The 21633-nt window shown below is 38.0% G+C and overlaps 1 protein-coding gene across 15 annotated transcripts in view, besides 1 other annotated feature; it reads left to right on the forward strand.

The window, feature by feature from the left end:
• Positions 1 to 19693, forward strand: part of CCDC150 (coiled-coil domain containing 150) — a 93092-nt gene extending 73399 nt beyond the window's left edge. For 5 of the 15 annotated variants that reach the window (XM_006712438.4, XM_017003861.2, XM_011510987.3 and 2 more), the window contains 11 exons: positions 5390 to 5518; positions 6384 to 6553; positions 7462 to 7555; positions 8409 to 8578; positions 12860 to 12986; positions 16080 to 16274; positions 16680 to 16748; positions 16844 to 17005; positions 17746 to 17832; positions 18920 to 19039; positions 19333 to 19693. In XM_006712438.4, the coding sequence (XP_006712501.1) occupies positions 5390 to 5518; positions 6384 to 6553; positions 7462 to 7555; positions 8409 to 8578; positions 12860 to 12986; positions 16080 to 16274; positions 16680 to 16748; positions 16844 to 17005; positions 17746 to 17832; positions 18920 to 19039; positions 19333 to 19449 (1440 nt within the window). In that variant the 3' untranslated portion in view covers positions 19450 to 19693. Of the gene's footprint in view, positions 1 to 17; positions 571 to 5389; positions 5519 to 6383; positions 6554 to 7060; positions 7122 to 7461; positions 7556 to 8408; positions 8579 to 10495; positions 11259 to 12859; positions 12987 to 16079; positions 16275 to 16679; positions 16749 to 16843; positions 17006 to 17745; positions 17833 to 18919; positions 19040 to 19332 lie in introns of those variants that run through there. The other 10 variants (XM_017003863.2, XM_047443975.1, XM_047443976.1 and 7 more) reach the window with 5 other exon arrangements.
• Positions 12834 to 12883: an enhancer, noted in NCBI's record as "active region_16912". NCBI's record gives its function as "activates an Ori minimal core promoter by ATAC-STARR-seq in GM12878 lymphoblastoid cells {active_cell/tissue: GM12878}" and the evidence as "EXISTENCE:reporter gene assay evidence [ECO:0000049][PMID:35858748]".
• Positions 19694 to 21633: the final 1940 nt, after the last annotated feature.

A 21633-nucleotide genomic window follows, 5' to 3' on the forward strand; every position in this document is an offset into this window, starting at 1 on the left:
TTGTTAAAGGAGGCCTCATTAGATGCGCTCTCTGACAGGGAAGTTGGCATAAGGTCTGTTTCTTTGCTGGGTCATATTTTACAGTGTGATCTCTTCACTCTGAAAGCAGAGAAACACATTTTCAATATATTTTCCATTACGGCTCCTTCTAGAACACTGTGTTGTTTCTCCTAGTAAAGGGGCTATTCCTTGAAAAATAACTCTAGGTTTAGCTGATTTTATTGTTTTTATTAATAATTGACGATGCCTCTAAGAAAAAGGAAATCCCCAGAGAGGACTGCATCTTCAAAATCCCCCGAAATCTCTAGGTCCCATGTAAACAGTATAAAGGAAAGAACGTCATCAGTTGGTTTGCCTAGTGTTATTCCAAACTCTACACGCCGTGTGAGCTTTGCACCTAACCTGCCTTCTATGAAAACATCTCAGGATATTGGAGACTCTAGGATCTCTCTAAAGACTCTTTTGAATGCTATTAAAACCATGGAGGGAAGACTGGAAGGCAAAATAGAGATTCTAGCCTCAAGACCTTTAATAAATGATGAATCACCAAATTTTCTTAAACAGGACTCGGTAAGTGAAGACCACAAATTAAATCTTAAGGAAGTTTTAAATTTATACAAGAATGAAATATTAATCCAGAAATATAATGCTTGAAGATATGACTAACAAGGAAATAAGGTTCTTCACAAATAGAAAAAAGACTAATATAGATTGAAACCATTATCCTAGCCATCACATAATTAGTTTTAGACATAGAACATTTGGCGTAACAGTAACTACTGAGTTTTTTATATAATTTTGATTTTTTAAAAAATTCAAAATTTCTACCTAATCTTAACATTTGAGCTAAAATGCTTGGATAAAGCCTCATTTTCAAATAGAAAATTAATTCAAGAAACCCCAAGAAATTTAACATTGGAAAATATTTTCTTGAGAAAACTTATTAGAGCATTCATCTTTATCTGATATTTAGAAATAGAAAATACTATAGCTTATCTTCTAGAGTGGGCTACTATTACCGGAAGGAGGGCTGTGAGTGTTAGTTGTCCAGGTCCTTGGTGTTTTGAACAAAGAATTGAAAAAATCGCGCAAAGTAATGAAGGAAGCAGCGAAAGCAGGGATTTATTAAAACGATGAAAGAACTCCATAGGGTGTGGAGTTTTCTGGGTTTTAAGTACTCCTTTTGAGGTCCCTATGGCTACCTCTTATCTGGATGAAGGATTTGGCCTGTGGCTAATTAAAGGCTCAGGTGAATTGATGCCCTATGCTGATGAAGGGATGGCCCATGCTTGGCTCCGGGCCAATCCAAGACACTCTCCCTTTCCATCTGAGACATGGTGGAAGCGGGAGGAGTGTAGGGAGAGTAGTAGCCTTTGATCCTTTGCTACTTGCTGGGGAGATGGGGTTTTTCCTTTTGGTGTAGCTTTTGTAAGTTGGTGTTAATTGGACTTAGCTTCCCGGTCGCAAGACCCAGGTGTTTTCCTTTTGATCCAGCTTTGGGAAGTCAGCAAAAATTGGCCTCACTTTTCCTGTCCCCAGACCTTGGTGTTTTTCCTTGATCCAGCTTTAGGAAATCAGCATGAATTGGCCTTAGGTTCCCTGCCTCCAGACCCTATTCTCCTGCCTCACTACTATTTAGATGTCTTCTGTAAACATCTAGTGGCATTTTTGCATTTATATGTGTGTATATACATACTGATATATACATACACTTAAAAAACTGGTAGAATTTTTAAAATGATATTCTTGTATACTTTTCTAGAACAAAATTCAGTAGATTATCAGGACCTGTAAGTTGCCGTCTTTTGCACTTTTCTGGGATCCTTTTCTGTAGAAAAAGTTAAATATTTTAAATGTTACAGGTTCAAGTTTAAGGATGTTTTATAACGTTGAGGTAGATGTGGGGAAAAGACATCCTCCTTTGTTACCGTTGGGATTATGAAACAGTACAACTTCCTATGGAGTTCCTATGCCTTCCTATGGAGGGCAATTTAGCAATATTTATCACAACTTTGACCCTACAATTGTCCTTCTAGGACTTTTTCCTACTGATATACTGGCTTGTACACATGACATGTATACAAGGTCACTTACTGAAGTATTGCTGGCTAATAGCAACAGAGGAAGCAACCAAAATCTTATCAATAAGAGACTGGCTAAATAATAGTTTGTATCCATAGTTTTGCAATACTGCTTCAAGATATATATATATTATTAGGTTTAAACAGTAAAAGTTCAGAAGAGTATATGTAATATTTTACTATTTGGATGTAAAAAGGGTGGGGAGATAAAGAATATATACGTATGTATTCACTTGTATAAGCATAGACTGTCTAAAATGACCCATAATAAACTGGCAACATTATTTTTGAGGAAGGAGACTGGGCAGCTGGGATGTTTTTCACTTAATCTTTTTGTACTTTAAAAATAATGTGAATGTACTACCCATCCAAAATAGTTTGATGAACGTTTTCTTTTCAACAAAACTGAAAGCAGAGAAAGGACAGTCTTTTCAACAAACGGTGCCGGGATAATTGGATATCCATATGCAAAAACAAAATATCTTTGCTCCATACCTCACAAAATGTATAAAAATTAAAATGGATCATAGATCTAAATGTAAACCCTGAAACTGTAAAACTTTTAGAAGAAAACATAGGAAGAAATCTTTATGATCTTGGATTACACAAAGATTTCTTAGATTTGATATCAAAAGCATGATCCATAAAGGGACAAAAATGATAAATTGGAGTTTATCAAAATTGACAACTTATGCTCTTCAGAAACATTAAGGGAATGAAGAGACAAGCTACAGACTGGGAGGAATTATTTGCAAATCACATATCTGATTAAGGCCTTGTTTCCAGAAGGTACTACAAATAATTTTTAAGATTTAAATACTAAGAAGAAAACCTAAGAAAAAGAATAGGCAAAAATTTAAACAGTTTCTTCAGCAAAGTTATGTGGCTGGTAAATAAGTGCTTGAAAAGGGGTTAAGCATCAGTCATTAGGGAAATGCAAATAAAATCACAGTGAGATACTACCACACACCTATTATGGGTACAGCCACTTTAGAAAATAGTTTGGGAATTTCTTTAAAAGCGAAACATACTACCACCATATGACCCAGTCAGTGCACTACTAAGTATTCACCAAAGACAAATGAAAGTATGTCTCCACACAGACTTGTACACAGGTGTTCACATCAGCTGTATTTGTAATAACTTAAAACTGGAAACAACTTAAGTGTCCACCAGGTGAATGGATAACTAAATTGTGATGTCCCTACAATAGAATACTAAGCAACAGAAAGAACTATTGATACATGCAGCAGATTGAATAACTCTCAAAATAATTACACTGAGTGAAAGAAGTTATTCAAAAAAGAGTGCATACAATACAATTCCATATAAAATTCTAGAAAATACAAACTCATATATTGTAACAGAAAACAGATCAGTGGTTACCTGTGAGAATCACCAGAAGTGTGGGAATAGAGAGAGACAGAAGGGGAAGATTACAAAGGAGCTTAAGGAAACTTTTGGAGATGATGGAAATGTTCAATATCTTAATTATTGTTTCAAAGTCTTATACGTATGTGAAAACTTATCAAAATGTACACTTTAAGTATGTGTAGCTTATTGTATATCAGTTATACCTCAGAAAAGCTGTTAAAAAAGAAAAATCATATATTACCTATTCAAAAATGTATTAAATGTTTAAAATAACATTCTTTTTTTTTTTTTTTTTTTTTTTTTTGAGACAGAGAGTCTCGCTGTGTCGCCAGGCTGGAGTACAGTGGCGCCATCTTGGCTTGGCTCACTGCAACCTCTGCCTCCTGGGTTCAAGCGATTCTCGTGCCTCAGCCTCCCAAGTGGCTGGAATTACAGGCGCCCGCCACCACGCCCAGCTAATTTATTTTTTATTTTTATTTTTATTTTATTTTTTTGTATTTTTAGTAGAGACAGGGTTTCACCACGTTGGCTAGGATGGTCTCCATCTCCTGACCTCATGATCCACCTGCCTTGGCCTCCCAAAGTGCTGGGATTACAGGGGTGAGCCACCACGCCCAGCCTAAAGTAACATTCTTGACAGAACTGTAGAAATAGAGAACAAATTACTGTACATCAGTGTAGTATGGGAAAGAAAAGAACAAATTAGTGGTTGCCAGAGGACAGGATGAGTTTTTGGAGGGAAGAGTGAATACAGAGATAGCACAAGGGAATTCTTTTCTGGTGATGGAAATTTTGTGTCTTGACTGTGGCAGTGGCAGTCATGTGAATATGTAAATAGGATAAAATTGCATGGAACTGTGTGCATGCACATATACACATGCATCCACACATAGATGAATGAAGGTTGAAAAAAATGGCAAAAATTGAATAAATTATGTGATCTAGTTAGTCAAGTTAACAATAATGTATGCATGTCAATTTCCTGGTTTTGATGTTGAACTACAGAGATATGAGATGTCAGCAAAAGAAGCAGGATAAAGGGGCGGGGCGTGGTTTCTCGCGCCTGTAACCCCATCACTTTGGGAGGCCGAGGTGAGCAGATCACCTGAGGTTAGGAGTTCGAGACCAGCCTGACAAACATGGTGAAACCCCTTCTCTACTAACTACAAAATTTAGCTTGGTATGATAGTGCACACCTGTAATTCCAGCTACTTGGGGAGGCTGAGTCAGGAGAATCGCTTGATCCCGGAAGGTGGAGGTTGCAGTGAGCCCAGATCATGCCATTGCACTCCAGCCTAGATGACAGAGCGAAATTCAGTCTCAAAAAAAAAAAAGCAGGATGAAGGGTACATCGGACTCTGCACTATTTTTGCAACATCCTGTGAGCCTAAAATTATGAAGTAAAAAGTTTAAAAGGGGTAATATTTAAAATAGTATGATTATCTGAACTGATGGTGTGGCTCTACCAAAACTGTTTCAAGGATATGAGGTTCTAATACTATACTTCTAATTAGGATTCATTCTGCTGTAACACTGTTTTCTTGAATTTTCTTGTATTTCTTTCTAAATACACTATTTAGTATTTATACATCTTTGCTTTTATAATATCAATTTGTGCTTTTTTTAATATTTTCAAAAGGAAGCTAGTCTCATAATAATTTCTCTCCCATTTTACATCTCAGCTTCATAGATAGTCTTATTCTCCCTATTCTTGTGTTTTCATGGAGATTAATGTATTGGATTTGTCTATGTTTATTCACACAGATATTTTTGTTGTAGTTTCCTTTAAAGGAATAAGCAGCTAATAAAGATGGGTTCTATTTATAGTAGTGAATAAATATATTTAAACATTTAAAATTTGGTTTCTAAATTTCTATGTCTTATTCTAATCACTGATTTGTAATGTTATTTATTGTTTCTTTTTTCCTACTTAGGTGAAATCTATTCTTGAAAGAAGTAAAGAGGAGCTGTCCCGAACAGTGAAGTGTCGTAATGCGGCCCTGAAAGAGAGTCAGAAGTTGAAAGAAGACCTCGAGGCTGTGGAGGACAGGGAAAACAAGAAGGCAAGGAATCAGTCCCTTCTGACCGTCTGTCACTGAGAAGAAGCACTTATGAAATCTTTCATGAGCCATATGTTTCGCTTTCTTGCTTCCATTAGAATAAGGATTGATCAGGGGAGGATTTCTTTTTCTGGAGAAAAGATAATTTTAGAATAGTTTAAAATTTTTCCCTTAAAAATACATTATATGTATCTAACTCCCAATGTTTTTTTTTTAACTTTCTGTCTTAAATACTCAAAAGAGAAAGTTCTAATTTTTTCTTTTGAAACACATCTGATCTTGGTAATAATAACCTTTATAGTTATGTTTTATTAATGTGGTGTAAGATTTCTATGATGCTTTCTCCTTAACAGTGTGTGTATGCTTAGTGGGAATAGAGGTCACATCCCAAACTTCTCTTTGTCAGCAAGTGCTGGATTTTGTCTCTCTGAGGAGGGCTGTGAGTTACCTCATTCTTCAGCAGCTTCCACTTTCTCTTACAGTCTTTTTTTCTCAGATAATTCTAATGCGTTTCAGATGTATTATTCTCATCTGACCCCGTCAGAAGACAGCTGAGAGGCCAGCCTGGCGCCACCTCTGGACGCAGGTTGTGCTGAGTCAGGCCTCTCTGGTTAATGTGTATGCTGTAACATGACCACAGTTGGGAAGCTGCAGAGTTCACCAACTTTTCTGGGGATCAGCTTTTCTTTTTCTCAACAATAACTTAAGAAACCACCTAAAAATAAAATATACTTTAATTATTCCCACTAGCATCCTACTGTGTCTGCTTGTCTGCTTTCCATGCTCTTTCCTGGGAGTAATGAGATCCACAAGCAGAAGAGTAACCAGAAAGGATCAAATGTCTTTGTGTTGTTTCATTTTCTGTTAGGTGGGAAACTTTCAGCGACAATTGGCAGAAGCTAAAGAAGACAACTGCAAAGTCACAATCATGTTGGAGAATGTGCTGGCTTCTCACAGTAAGATGCAAGGTGCTCTGGAGAAAGTACAAATAGAGCTTGGGCGGAGGGATTCAGAGATTGCAGGCCTCAAGAAAGAAAGGTACCTGTGGTTTTTTTTCCCTGTCATTGGTATTGCTGGATTGTACTAAGGAGCAGTGTCAAGTCAATAAATGAAGTCACTTTATGTAGCTTCCTTTACAAAAAAAAAAATTGCAAAATGATATGTTGAAAGAATTCCTAAGTTAGAGAAAATTTAGAATTAGAAATAAATATTATTTCCAAAAATTCAAAATGCCCCTATTGTGTAGTGATGTGAAGGAATTTCTAGACTATATATCCTAGAAATTCACTAGCTGTACTGTTGTTTTACCCTTGCTTTCTGCACCATGTAAACCTAATTCTTTCCTTGCTTCTACAGAATAGTAACTGTCAAGATAATTGAAACTAAGTACATACTTTAGTTTGAATTAATTATCCATTTATTACTATCCTGTTTCAAGATTAATAATTATTTTAGGTGAATCATTCTGAGAACCACTTCTAGCCATGTTTTATAAGTAAATTCCTTTATAGAATGTTTCAAAAATTAAATAAAATTTCCTTTTAGGTTAAAGAATAAATGGTCTGAGTTTAATAGGGCATATTGCCTCTATGTTATGAGAGAACAAGTGAGTTTTCTTTTCTCTTTTTTTACATTACATATTGTTTATCTTTTTTACATAGTATGAAAGTATATTGCCTTTGCATTTTTAAAAGGTCAAGGGAATGGTATTAAAAATACTATTCACAATAAATTTATAAGTGGCTGTTATATGTAGATGCAAAAATCTCAACAGCAAGTCAATCTTTGTAAAGGCAATATATTTTGTACTAGTGATATTTACTAGTGATATATAAGTATGATGCTATTTGAGCTTCTTAGAAGAAAAGTGTTCTGTAACTCCCAAATGGTATCATTCCTACACGATTCTTTTCTGTAGTCACTCTTTTTGTGCTTTTTATTTTTAGGGATCTCAATCAACAGAGGGTGCAGAAGCTGGAAGCTGAAGTGGACCAGTGGCAGGCCAGGATGCTTGTCATGGAGGACCAGCACAACAGTGAGGTTGGAGCCAGGCTTTAAAAAATGATAACATTGATATTTTTAGTTTTATTGGGATATTACTGTTTTTGGGAAAATGAAGTGAAACTATCAGGTAAATGTTTTTTTCAATCAAGTCTGAGTTTTGGACAGTGACATATCTACAAATGGGAAATTGACCTGTCTTACAATGAGTCACTTATTGGCAAACCAGTACCACAATAATGACTAAACTCTTTGTCTTATATGGTCTTATATGGTCTACATTTTTATTCATTTATTAATGCACAAAAAATGTCAGAAGTTAATAGGCTTAGAAAATATAGTCTGTCAGAAACACCTGGAGTGATCCCACTATTAATAAGGAGTCACCTACACACACATGTGCTCACAGGTATATATTTACTTACATGCATACATATCTATATGCACATATATAAAATACACATGAATATTTCATAAATAAGGTTTTTTTTCTGTAAGAATCTATAAGAAACAGTGGACAGGTTTTTTTCTTCAAGGGAGTGAGACCAGAAGGTCATAGGATCAGGAAGGGTAATTTAGTTTAAAATTTAAAAAATTAGGATAAATTAAGCTGGGTCTGTTTTCCAAAGTTCTCTGGTGACCAATGGAGCATGGCCTTCCCATTGCCTTCTAAGTGTTTCCTGAGCAATGTCTCTAATGAGTTCTCATTCATATATGTGTGTGCATATATATATATATATTTTCCAGGCAGCTGGAATCTTTGCTTCTGGTTCCAACTAATTATTGTTTCAATGGTACTTGATGATAGAATGTGAGGAGTGATTACACAGTGTTATGGACTTCTTGCATCTGTCCATTACAGTGGAATTGAAAACATGCTTCTCTCTTTCAGATTGAATCTCTACAAAAAGCTCTAGGTGTAGCTAGAGAAGACAACAGGAAACTTGCTATGAGTCTGGAACAAGCTCTCCAGACAAATAATCATCTGCAAACAAAGCTAGATCACATTCAAGAGCAATTGGAAAGCAAAGAACTTGAGCGACAGAATTTGGAAACCTTCAAGTAAGAGCATTATAGTTGCAGTAAAATTAGGGAAGCACCTCTGGAGGAGTAAGTCACATTCCCATAAATGGCTCATTCGCATAAATCAGTTAAACTCTTTTCTCCTACTTTGCCCTAGTACTTCCAGCAGAGCCATGTTAAGAACCAGGCATACCTGAGCACCAGCAGGTAATAGCTGGCTAGAGCATGATCATTTGACTCTCCTTCTCAGCTCTTCCTTCATCCACTATCTAGCTGCTGCTTTACTCAAAGGTTAAATCAAAACTTAAAGAATATTGATTAGAAGGGACGTTCACATGTTTCTATGAAGGCTTTTCTATTAACAGCTTATATGTCCTTTAAAGGCAGATTTAGACAAGAAAAAACATCAGCCTGGGTGGAATGACTCCATCTAAGCAGATGTTAAGCCATTAAATGTTTTCAGTTTTGACCTGAGATTACTTAGATCAGACTTATCCAGTTCAGGTCAAATGACTAAAGTTTTGCCTTAAATTATACCTCGGTAAATATTTAGATAATAATAGCATCCCATGAAAATTTATACTTAAGGGAAATGCAGTGTGCACGTACATCTTTATTCCTTTTTATTTATTTATTTATCTGAGACTGGGTCTCGCCCTGTTGCCCAGGCTGGAGTTCAGTGGTGTGATCATGGCTCACTGCAGCCTCTACTTCCTGGGCTCATGCAGTTCTCCCACCTGAGCCTCCTGAGTAGCTGGAACTACAGGCATGCATCACCACACCTGGCTAATTTTTTTTTTTTTTTAAGAGATAGGGTTTCTCCATGTTGCCCAGGGTGGTCTCAAAACTCCTGGGCTCAAACAATCCACCTGCCTGGCCTCCCAAAGTGCTGGGATTACAGGCATGAGCCACTGTTCTCAGCCTAGATATTTATTATTTTCAATTAGTGAGCATGTTGATACAGGAAAGAGGTACAAGCTAAAGCAGAGATGGTATTTTCCAGATATATGATCTCTGCAAATTTTATATTCAGCTGAAATGTTACTGCCTTAAGACTGTTCCATATTGTGTTTATGTAGTCGTTGGCAGCATCATTTAAAACTCTCCAATGTCAGTTTAGGTAATTATGATTTAGAGAGCTAGTAATTGTTTCAAAGCCTGAAAATTATTTAGGTGACTATAAAATGTAGTCCCTGCCACTACTGCTTAAAACAAGCAAAACCAAAGGAAAAAAAAAATGATTAGGTCATTTACAGGAAAAGGATGAGGTGAGAGTTAGAGGTCTCCTTGCAGCATTTGCTTCAGGATTTACCCTTATGCCACTGCTTATGATAATAGTTTGTATTTTCATCAAAGGTGAATCAACCTTCTTTACTTGAGATCTTTGAACCTCCTGAAATCATATGCAGAACTGTATTTATCAGTGCACATGGTTAGGAAGACAGAGCAGGTTTTGGAGAACTTGCTGGGTTTCAGGTACAGTTACTTAATTTAGACTTAGAAATGCAGGCTTAGTTCTAAGAAGAGGCTACTAGTTGGAATTCATCTCCATAAAGATAAAAGCTAAACGCCGGGTGCGGTGGCTCACACCTGTAATCCCAGTACTTTGGGAGGCCAAGGTGGGCGGATCACGAGGTCAGGAGATCGAGACCATCCTGGCCAACATGGTGAAACCCCATCTCTACTAAAAATACATACCTGGGTGTGGTGGTGTATGCCTGTAGTCCCAGCTACTCGGGAGGCTAAGGCAGGAGAATCGCTTGAACCTGGGAGGCAGAGGTTGCAGTGAGGTTGCAGTGAGATCAGGCCACTGCACTCCAGCCTGGGTGACAGAGCAAGACTCCATCTCAAAAAAATAAAAAGATAAACGCTAAAGCTTTGGTGTGGGTTAGACTGCCATGGGAAAAGTATAGAGAGAGAACCAAGGTCAGAACTTGGAGATGTGTTGCATTTCAGGTAGAAGTTGAACAGAGGCCACAGAAGGATCCAGAGAAGGAGCATTTAGTGGAGGTAAGGAAAGAGTTGGTAGAATGTAGTATCACCAGAGTCAAACACAAGTGAGTCAGATGCTGCAGAGTCAAAGAGACCAGAGAGGAAGCCACTGGGTTTTGCAACAGGTATCTACCAATCATCCTCCAGATGGCCAGTTTCTGTAGATATAGAAGATCACAAAGAGTAAGTGATTGATGAGGAAAGGCAGGCAAAGAGGACAATGGTGAAGATAAAGAAGATCAGATAGCAGCTCAAGAGCATAACATGAAGAAAAGTTATTCTGCTGCTGCCCTGTTTTTAGAATGGGAGGAACTGGACCATGATTAAAGATTATGGAAAAGAACTCAATCGAACTGGAGAAAAGAGAGAGTATAAGAGGAAGGGTTATCTTTAAAGATGAGGTTGGACATTTCTTCCTTTGGGACTAGCGGGAAGCAGAAGCTGAGTGAGTCTTCAGAAGACTGTTAAGGAGGCTGATTGGTAGATGGTCTGCGATTTTCCTTAGAAGAAAAAAGAGCAAGATGAATACATTCTAGAGATCTGCTATATAACATAGGGCTATAATGAACAACAGTATATTGTATGCTTAAAATTTGTTAAGAGGGTAGATCTCATGTTAAATGTTCTTACCTCAGTAAAAAGAAGAAGAAAGTAAGAGTTGAAGTTGAAGTGCTATGTAGGGGCTCAGGGCAGAGGTAGAGACTTGAGAGAAATTTTAAAATTAAAAATTAAAGTTAATACAAAATTTAATTTAAAAATCTAAAATTTAGAATTTAAATTTTTAGAGCTAGATGATGATGATGACAGTAGCTAACATTTGTTACATGCTCATGATATGTTGGGTAATATGCTAAGGACTTCACATGCATTATTTCCTTTAGTACAAACTATTACCCTATGATGGTGGTTACTGTTGTTATTCCCATTTTGAAGATAAGGAAACAAGCAGGGGAAGGTGGTGTACCATACTCAAGGTCAGACATCATCTTACTAGAGCTGGGATTAGATCCAGGCAGCAGCAGGCTGACTCCAAAACTTATAGTCTTAATCATTTTGATATAATCACAATAAATTTAAAGGCAATTTAGAAAGTTTCTTATAATTTTCAAAATACAGCACTGTAAAAATGATGGTTTTCTCTTTCTATATCTCCATGAATTTTTTGCTCATTTTTCAGATTGAGGTGTGGGCATGGGGAGGAGTGTGGGAATATAAGAAATAACCATAATTATATCCAATGACTTCAGGATCTCCATCCCTTTATGCTGTGCCTTGAGGACAGGTGTCAGCAACTTTTTAGATGTGATGTACCAAAGTATATTGATACATTCCTGCCTGGGGTACTGGAGGGACAGTTGCAGTTACCACCTGCAAGTCTCATGTATAGACCAAGCCACTGAATGCTGCCAAGTGGAGAAACTGAATCCATTAGTAGATGTGCTTTTAGAGACACGTGGAGAACATGGATATATTATACAAATAAGAGCAAGAGATGGTCAGGAGGAGAGAGAGGGAAAATGAAGGTGATTTCATGGCAGGGCAGGCTTCTCCTATCCTTTGAGAAAGAACCAATAACTCAAGAGTAATCATACAGTAAGTCATTATCAGCTAGATCAGAGAATGTTAAAGCTGGAATAAGCCTAGTAATTGTTTAAATCCGTTTAGTCCTTTTTGGAGTCACTTATCCTTTTAAAAGTCAGAAGCTACGGACTCAGCTACACTCCCTCACACACACACATTTTGCATATTATTTCAGGCAATTCCAGCATCCTCAGAAGATTAATCATGGGTCTTGAACAAGGAGTTCAAGTTAGGAATGCTGATCTAATTTAAGGCTCTCAGTTTAAAGATAAGGAAACAATATTATTACAAGTTAAAACTTAAGTAGTAAATAGCTGCTAGCAAAAAGACATCATCTTACTAGAGCGGAGATTACAATCCAGGCAGCAGCAGGCTGACTCCAAAACCCATAGTCTTAATCACTTTGCTATAATGTTTTGTTTGAAAAGACAAAGGCAAAAGAAAAGACAAAAGCAAGTATCTCTTAAAGTGTTTCTTCTTCCTCCAGTATTTTTCTTCGATGTGAGTTTTTTACTCGTTTGGTTGGATCTCTTTATGTAGAATTAATGTTTTTTAATGCTACAGGTAAATTCACTTCTTTTTTCTTCTGTTAATGAGCTCCAAATTAGTGAGGTTCACCAGGCTACTGATAGGCTGCTTGTTTATAAATCACACACCTTTTGGAGAGTTGCACACTCCCCTCCAAAACTTTCTTACCTCCTAAAATGATTTCTAAAGGTGACTTATCACCTCTCTTCTTCAAAACAGAGACCGGATGACTGAAGAGTCCAAAGTGGAAGCAGAATTGCATGCTGAACGCATAGAAGCTCTAAGAAAGCAGTTTCAAACCGAGAGAGAAACTACAAAGAAAGTGGCACAACGGGAAGTGGCTGAGGTATAGTCATGAGAAAAGTTTCTCTTTTGGTGAATGCCTCTTAGGATAAGCAGCTCAAGGATTTCAGAGAATGGCTACAGTTGTTCTTTGACTCCTCTCATCCCCCTTTGATCAGCAGGCCAGATGTAATTAAGACCTCTCTGTAAAGCAACACACAAGAAAAAAGTTTCTGACATAATTCTCTGCCCGACAAAGGTGTGCCTTGATGGGAGATTTTCCATCAGAGAGTGATAAGCAAGAGGGATAGAGGAATAAGGAGACTGCCATTTGATAGACAGAAGAGAAATCATCTGTCTTCTCAGTTCATTTAACTGGCATCTATTCTGCATCTACCATTTCCTGAGAGGCACAGAGAAAACAGTAGAAGATATGGTCCATGCCCCAGTGTGTGCCAAATGACCCTTGTTTGGGATCTCCACTCCGGAAATGAGATATATAGGGAAAACATCAGAGAACTTTCTTGGGTAGCAGAGGCTGTGTACAACTTTGAAGGAATTCAAAGTAAGAGAAAGTTTATTTTAGGCCATTTGGTTGATAGAAGAAGAGAGGCTTAATGAGAGTACAGGATTGAGACTAGCAGAAATGGCAGGGCTGGACACCTTATGAAACAGCACAGGCCATGCTTACTTACAAAAATGAACAGGACATGTGAGCAGATGAAAAGTAGCCTTTCTTGATTAGAGCAGAGACTTTGGAAAATGTTAGAGAGAGAGTGTTAGCTTAAATGGGACCACCTGATGGATGGCCTTAGTTATAGAAATGTTGGATGTGTGCTCTTAGGTAGAAACGGAGCACTATGGGTTTCTGAGCAGGGGGTGGTATGATAGAAGCATGAGTTTAGGAAGGTTAATGTAACAGCAGAGGACAGTAGAGGATAATGAAGAGAAACTGGAGGCATGGAGGCTCGAGAAAACTATAACAGTTAATTCGAGTATTAGATGATTAGGGCCAAGCAAAGTAGTTCAGTTGAAAATAGAAAACAATTAAGTCAGAAAGCCCATTTTAATAGAAAAAAAATCAAACAGGCCAGGCGAGGCGGCTCATGCCTGTAATCCCTGCACTTTGGGAGGCTGAGGCAGGTGGATTACCTGAGGTCAGAAGTTTGAGACCAGCCTGGCCAACATGGTGAAACTCCATCTCTACTAAAAATACAAAAATTAGCTGGGTGTGGTGGCAGGCGCCTGTAATCCCAGCTATTCAGGAGGCTGAGGCACAAAAATCGCTTGAACCCGGGAGGCAGAGCTTGCAGTGAGCCGAGATGGTGCCACTGCACTCCAGCCTGGGCGACAGAGTGAGACTCCGTCTCAAAAAAAAAGAAAAAGAAAAAAATTATCAACCAGACATTAAATGTTGTATCCTGGAGAGGGAGGGATTAAAATAATTCCTTGGTTGGCATGGCTGGTCTGTGTTTCACCAAATTTGTTACGTTTAGTAGTTGCAATTGACAGACCATTCACAAAATCAAACTCAAATAATGGTATATAAAACAATTTTGTGAATTGCAAAGCACTATATAAATACAAATGTTATAAAAAGCAAATTCTGCTTTTTATAGAAGAATTAGGGAACATAAAGGTGTGCTAAATGTAGAAATGTACCTTTAGTCGGAGATCATTGTTAAGAATACTTACAGCCGGGCACAGTGGCTCATGCCTGTAATCCCAGCACTTTGGGAGGCTGAGGCAGGGGGATCACGAGGTCAGGAGATCAAGACCATCCTGGCTAACATGGTGAAACCCTGTCTCTACTAAAAATACAAAAAATTATCCAGGCATAGTGGTGGGTGCCTGTAGTCCCAGCTACTCGGGAGGCTGAGGCAGGAGAGTGGCATGAACCTGGGAGGCGGAGCTTGCAGTGAGCTGAGATCGCACCACTGCACTCTAGCCTGGGCTCCAGAGCACGACTCTGTCTCAAAAAAAAAAAAAAAAAAAAAAAGAATACTTACAAAATGAAATCATTTGAAGAAGGATCAGTGACAGTGGAGAACAGTGAGAGAGTGACAGCAGTGAGAAGTTGGCAGCAGCAATGGGCTCAGGGAGCACTGCCTGAGTCAAGTTTGTCTTGAGTATTAAATTGGAAAGCATTTGTAAAGTAATTATCACAGTGCCTGAACATAATACTCAGTACAAAGTAAATGATAGTTGTTAGTGCTTATCCAGTTTTAGAAAGGCTGTGATTGAGGTAACTGGAATATCTAACAGGAAGTTAGTTGGGTAGTAATAAAAGACTGTAGTGTAAAGTTAGGATCTAAAAGAAGGAACTAGTATAGAGAGAAAAGGTACAGATATCCTTGACTTCACTCTTTGCTGTGTTAAATGCTACCATCCATAGAGAATACCACCTTCCTGTCTTCTCCCTTCTCAACTACCTCCTCTTCCTAAAGTTTTCAAGTGGCAATGGTTTAAGGGCATATTAGAAGGCGTGAACGCTGTAAAATTATTTAAGTAACTACTATGCAGTTTTTTTTTCACGAGAGAAGTTTATTAAAATCCTTAAGAACAAAAAGCAAAATTATAAAAATATATGCCATGGCAGTCAGTACCTGACAGATATTTATATAAACTGCCATATAATTCATTTTCATTTCTTCAGACATGAGGTTGCAAGTGACAGAGAAGAGCTTATAGCATGATAATCACAGAGTAATTGTGTGTGCCAGCCTCTACTTCTTTCTTTATATGATCTTATTTAATTTAATTGTTATTTGTATTCTATGAAGTAGGCTATACACACACTGTTCAGATGATGAACCTGAGGCTTAAGGTAGTTAATTGCTCCAGATCACTCAGCTAGTAAGTACTGAAGCTGATATTTGGACAGATGCCTGACTCCAAAGTCATGCTCTTAAAATGCAAATGATGAATATACATTTGCATTCTTTATTCCAAAAAAGATTTTGTTCTTTAGTGATAAAAATCATGAAAACCACTTGGTCTATTGCTCCATAAATCTGCTTAATCAGACATTATTATTGCCTCACTAACTCTCCTTTTTAAAAGAAGATCCAAAGATGATAAAATATAAGGACAAAACTAAGTAAGCTTCTCTTAATGGAAAGTAAAAATGTTTCAATTTTCTCCCTTGTGTTTTAAGCTGAAGAAAGCCCTTGATGAAGCTAACTTCAGATCAGTGGAAGTGTCCCGGACCAACCGAGAGCTGCGACAGAAACTTGCAGAGCTAGAAAAAATACTAGAAAGTAACAAGGAGAAAATAAAGAATCAAAAGACCCAAATTAAGCTCCACTTGTCAGCTAAGGCGAATAATGCTCAGAATATAGAAAGGATGAAGGTTGTATGGGAAACCTCTTCTCACTTCCTGGATACCCTGTGAGGATGTAGTCAGTCAATGGTGTCTAGGGAAGACAGGTTTTAGAACCCTAGCAGCCCCATGTATTCTCTGGGAATTATAGCCAGTTGTCTTTGGGGAGACTTTTTCAGTGGAGTCACTGCTGTGTAAATGTTTGATTTCTCATTTGCTGCCAGTGTCACATTCCGGCTCCCTATCTGTCCCTTCCGTGTTGATTGTACTGGACTTTGCTCTTTTGGGATCAGTGGGCTAGATGGGAAAGAAAGCTCAGCAGGAACTGGTAACTTTGGGTCTCATATTGGATTCTTTCTGTCATCCTATAGGCAAAAAGAGCAAGCCAGTTTTTCCACTGATCATCTTTTTATGTTATTTTCCAATTACTTTTAGCAAATAGAAAAAGAATTGAAGCAAATGGAGCTAATTAAGGATCAATATCAGAAAAAGAACTATGAACAGGTAGATGATTTCCATATACTCTGTGTTTACCTTTCATGCAAAATCTCAAACTTGGAGGGTGTTCACCAAATGTCTCTGTCTTTGTATCCTTCCAGTCTTTGAGTATCCAGAGATTTGTGTGTGAAATGACTAACCTGCAGAAAGAGATGCAGATGTTGGCTAAGAGCCAATATGATGCCTCAGTGCGGAATAAACAGCAAGAGCTGCACCTAGAAGCAGAGCGGAAAATAAGGCAGGAGCTAGAGAATCGGTGCCAGGTAAAAGGTTTCCTAAGATTCATCTTAAAGATGGTCAGCAAATGACATGTGCCAAAGCCCAGTAGTTTTGCACCTAGACTTTCTAGAGTCTACAGAAGACAACACACATTTACAAATTGTTTATCTTAGCTAAGTCCTTAGAATAATAGTATCTAGGAAGAAGGCTGTAGTTTGAATATGGCAAATGTTCTCCATTTTCAGTTTAATAAAAGTAATGTCAATTTTTAAAGAACAGCTAGAGCTTACATATGCAAAGTATCAGTTACTAAGTAAGACTTCTGAACTGAATTTCATAGCCTTTCAGGAACTTTGTACACCTCGTTTCTTCTAGCACAGATACACCTGTTGCTATTACAGGACTCTTAGGTATTCCTAAATGAATAAAAAGCATAACGTCTTATCACTGAAAAGGGACTTCAAGAGATCACTGAGCTCTTGTCTTTCAGTAGGGTTTGTCATGAGAAGTATCTCTCCAGTTCTGAAAAGAGATATTAATCACTGTCCTCAACAGACTCCATAAATAAAAAATCAAAATGTGTAATCATATCCACATATGTAGATATGCAGACTATAGGTTAAGCTGAAAATAACAGTTTTTATCTCATATGTCAGTAGCACCTGAAGTTAGAAGGCACTCCATCCTATTTTCATATTTAGTTGCCCATTTATTATAACAGTGAAGCATTTGGTTTCTTATGGTATGTTGGAAGTTTATAAAAATCTTTGTATCACATTTTCAGGAATTGGAAGAAACTGTCAGACACCTGAAGAAATGTAAAGAGGCAACAGAGAATACGCTGAAAGAAGCCAGTGTGGAATCAGAACAGGTGAGCCAGACCCACGGACATAAAGACTTAGACGTTTCCTTCAACACAGCAACCCTGAAGCAACCCAAGTCAATGTGAAATCCTTCATTAACGTAGTTGTCAGGAATGCAACAGGGAAGAACGAGTAACTTCCTAAGTGTAGTCTCTATTGTAGAGAAGAAGTGATTTTTAGATTAAGAGTCTGTGTCCAGATGACAGATGATATATAACAGAATGCTAAAATATTAAACCTGAAGTCCAAATCTCCCTATTAAATATAAGGAAAGACCAGCATGTGTGTGGATTTTAATGCATTATTATTTGACATGACCCTACTGAAAGTGGATGCTCTTTGTTCAATCAATCAATAACTAAAAAAGTAAAGTAGACCCTATTTAACTAATTGTGAATTTTCTTTCTCTATTCTAAACTTAAATTAGCCTTTTGGGGGGTATTTCAAATCATACTTTTTTTTTTTTTTTTTCCAAGACAGGGTCTCACTCTGTCACCAGGCTGGAGTGCATGGCATAATCTTGGCTCACTGCAATCTCCGCCTCCCAGGCTCAAATGATCCTCCCACTTGAGCCTCCCAAGTAGCCAAGTAGCTGGGCATGGTGGTGCACCATGCCCAGCTAATTTTTGGTAGAGATGAGGTTCCACTGTGTTGCCAGGCTGGTCTCAAACTCCTGGACTCAAGTGATCCACCAGCCTTGGCCTCCCAAAGTGCTGTGATTCCAGGTGTGAACCACCACACCTGGCCCATGAACTACTACATTCTTAAGAGTCTTTTGTGCATTTTTTTCATTTTCAAAGCCATCTTTTACCTTCATTCTTAATTTTCTCCTGGGTCCTCTCTTACATTACTTCACATCCAAGAAACATTAACAAATGCATGAAAAGCAGCAAGTCTGCATGCATTCTTTAACCCCTCACTCAGAAATTACTCGCATGTATAGGATGTTAAGTATATTATGCAAATAGGTTGTGAAGAACAAGCAGTCAGAATTTGGGTCTTTTAATTTCTAAGTAAAAAATCTCTGCAACTAATACACAAAAAAACTTGTAACTCTTTCTTTGTGTCTTTTAATGGTGATATTTATATGTTCAGATAACAGCTAATCTGGAAGAAGCTCATCGCTGGTTTAAGCACAGGTTTGATGGTCTACAACTTGAGCTGACAAAAAACCGGTTGCAGAGGCCTTCTGGGGAAGACAGGTGGCAGGAAAAGGTAAGATTAAGACATGGATGTCTTAAGCAATTTTCTACTTGTTGCTTCTCAGATTTCTAATTACCGAAGTTCTCTCATCATCTCGATACTCTCTCTTTTAATCTTTAGTTTCTTTAGACTAATGCTAGGAAACCAATTAATTTCTTTTTTTTACAAAGTTCCACCTGTCACAAACTTTTTAGATTAGAATCACTTGTCTTCATGAATAGATGACATGTGTAGAGGCAAAACAGGTGCAGATTGCTGCAGTTAGCTCTGAACAGTCAGTGTTAGGTGTGTTTTCTTTCCAACAGGACCAAGATGTAAAACATGATGTCATGTCCAACCAATCTGTTCTGCATCGATGGGAGAGAAAACAGAATCTTAGGCCCATGCCCAAGAAGTATCATTCTGAGGTACAGAGGAAGTGATGTCCTTGACAAGGGAGCTTCTTTATGTGTAGCTACACTCCATGATTCCAAGAGCCCAGCAGCCGGGGCTGGCCTGTTTCTAGAGTCATAAGAACATGAAGTCTTTGATGTGGGCTGAAGATTTTGGACCTGAGTTTATCACTTTATGAACTCTTATATCAGTACAAAACTACCCCTTTTTTTGTCCCTTTTCACATTTTCCACCCAATAAATTTGTGTTAATTTGTTGTATGATAGGAGATGGTGTTGCATAATTCTTGTCTGTTTTTCTAATAAGTATATTTTATGAAAAGGCTTTTAGCAAGTTCTAAATGATATTGCTACTAAACGATATATTTTGTTTCAATGAAATGTGCCACTCTAACATGCAGTAGATAATCCCTGGTAATAGAATTGTGTGAAAAATGGTAAAGACTCCTCTACTGTCTTGTAAATTTATGCACTTCTATGTTGGGTAATTACCAGCATATCTTTTAAAGACTAATATCTCTATTCTCAAATAAGGCATTTCAGAGATTATATTTACAGCTTCCTTGGTCATTAAAAAAGTTATAGAATGCAGCAGTCTGTTCTTCTCAGGGAGACTATGCCTGACCAACATAGCTCTTCCTTACTATAGTTAAGCAATAAGCTCATCTTCATCTTTTTATTTCAGATGTTGAGTGGTGGATTAGGTAATCCAGATTTAACATATGTAAATGGCTGGCATAAGACCTGACTTAATTAATACTCAAGTAATCATAGCTGCTGCTGATATTATCAGGACCTAAATCAAGTAAGCAATCATGAAATTGGAAATAATATCAATTATAAGACTGTCAAAGGTTGATGAGCCTACTACTCAATATCTGATAGAAAAAAACACAGCTGAATTTATCACTTACTATATAGTAAGGGAGAAGTGTTGTTCAGGCATAGTCCTCCTTGAGCAGAGCAGACTGTTAATCTCGTAGGTTTTTTGGGAATATGAAATTCATATTGACACCTATAGGACTGTAGTTACTGGAGTGAGACTGTTGTTCATTGATTCACATTCAGAAGCATGTTAATTGGAGTGGGTCCATTTCTGTTTGTTTGACTTTAGGAATAAAGGACTCTTGCTAGTTTTCAGGCCTGTAAAAGCATGTACAAAAAGGCAAGTTGGCCGGGTGAGGTGGCTCATGCCTGTAATCCCAGCACTTTGGGAGGCCAAGGCAAGCAGATCACTTGAGGCCAGGAGTTCGAGATCAGCCTGGCCAACATGGGGAAACCCTATCTCTATCAAAAATACAAAAGTTAGCCAGGTGTGGTGGTGCACACCTGTAGTCCTAGCTACTTGGGAGGCTGAGGCACAAGAATCGCTTGAACCCAGGAGGTGGAGGTAGTAGTGAGCCAAGATCATGCCACTGCACTCCAGCCTGGGCAACAGAGTGAAACTGTCTCAAAAAAAAAAAAAAAAAAAGAAAGTTGTCACTGAGCTAATGGACAAGTTAAAAACTGGTAGTTAAAAACTAGCCGCTTGTTCTTGTGGCTTCCAAACAATCAATCTCAATCTGTTTTTGGGAGGATGTAAACATTTTATTCTTTGTGCCCCCTTTTGGTCCTCTATCATATGTTAGGACAGTGGCTCTGTAGAAGCATTTGAGACTGAACAATAGACATCAACTATTTTGTTAACCTAGGTACAATATGAAGTGTTAGCACTGGTGCACACACCTCTCTGGTTGGGAAAAGAAAATAATTCATGGCTATTTTATTACCTATAACTACCTTGGTTCTATGGTTTGAATGTGTCCCCTCCAAAATTCATGTTGAAACTTAATTCTTACTGTGGTAGTATTAAGTGGAGGGCCTTTAGGGCCTCTGGGGAAGTGGTATTAAGTGGGGGGCCTTTGGGGCTCTGCCCTCATGAATGGAGTAGTGCCTCATTAAAGGGCTGGAGGGAACTAGCTTGGGCCATTTTGCCCTTCTGCCTTCCACCATGTGAGGACACAGCATTCAGCCCCTCTGGAGGAAACAGCAACAAGGTGCCATCTTAGAAATAGGGAACGGGATCCTCACTTGACATGAAATTTGCAAGCACCTTGATCTTGGACTTCCCAGCCTCCCAAACTGTAAGAAGTAAATGTCTGTTCTTTATAAATTACTCAGTCTCAACTGTTTTGTTATAGCAGCAGAGACAGACTAAGAAGACGCCTGGTTATG

Source organism: Homo sapiens, chromosome 2 (genome assembly GCF_000001405.40).
Source record: "Homo sapiens chromosome 2, GRCh38.p14 Primary Assembly".
Taxonomy (NCBI): Eukaryota; Metazoa; Chordata; class Mammalia; order Primates; family Hominidae; genus Homo; species Homo sapiens.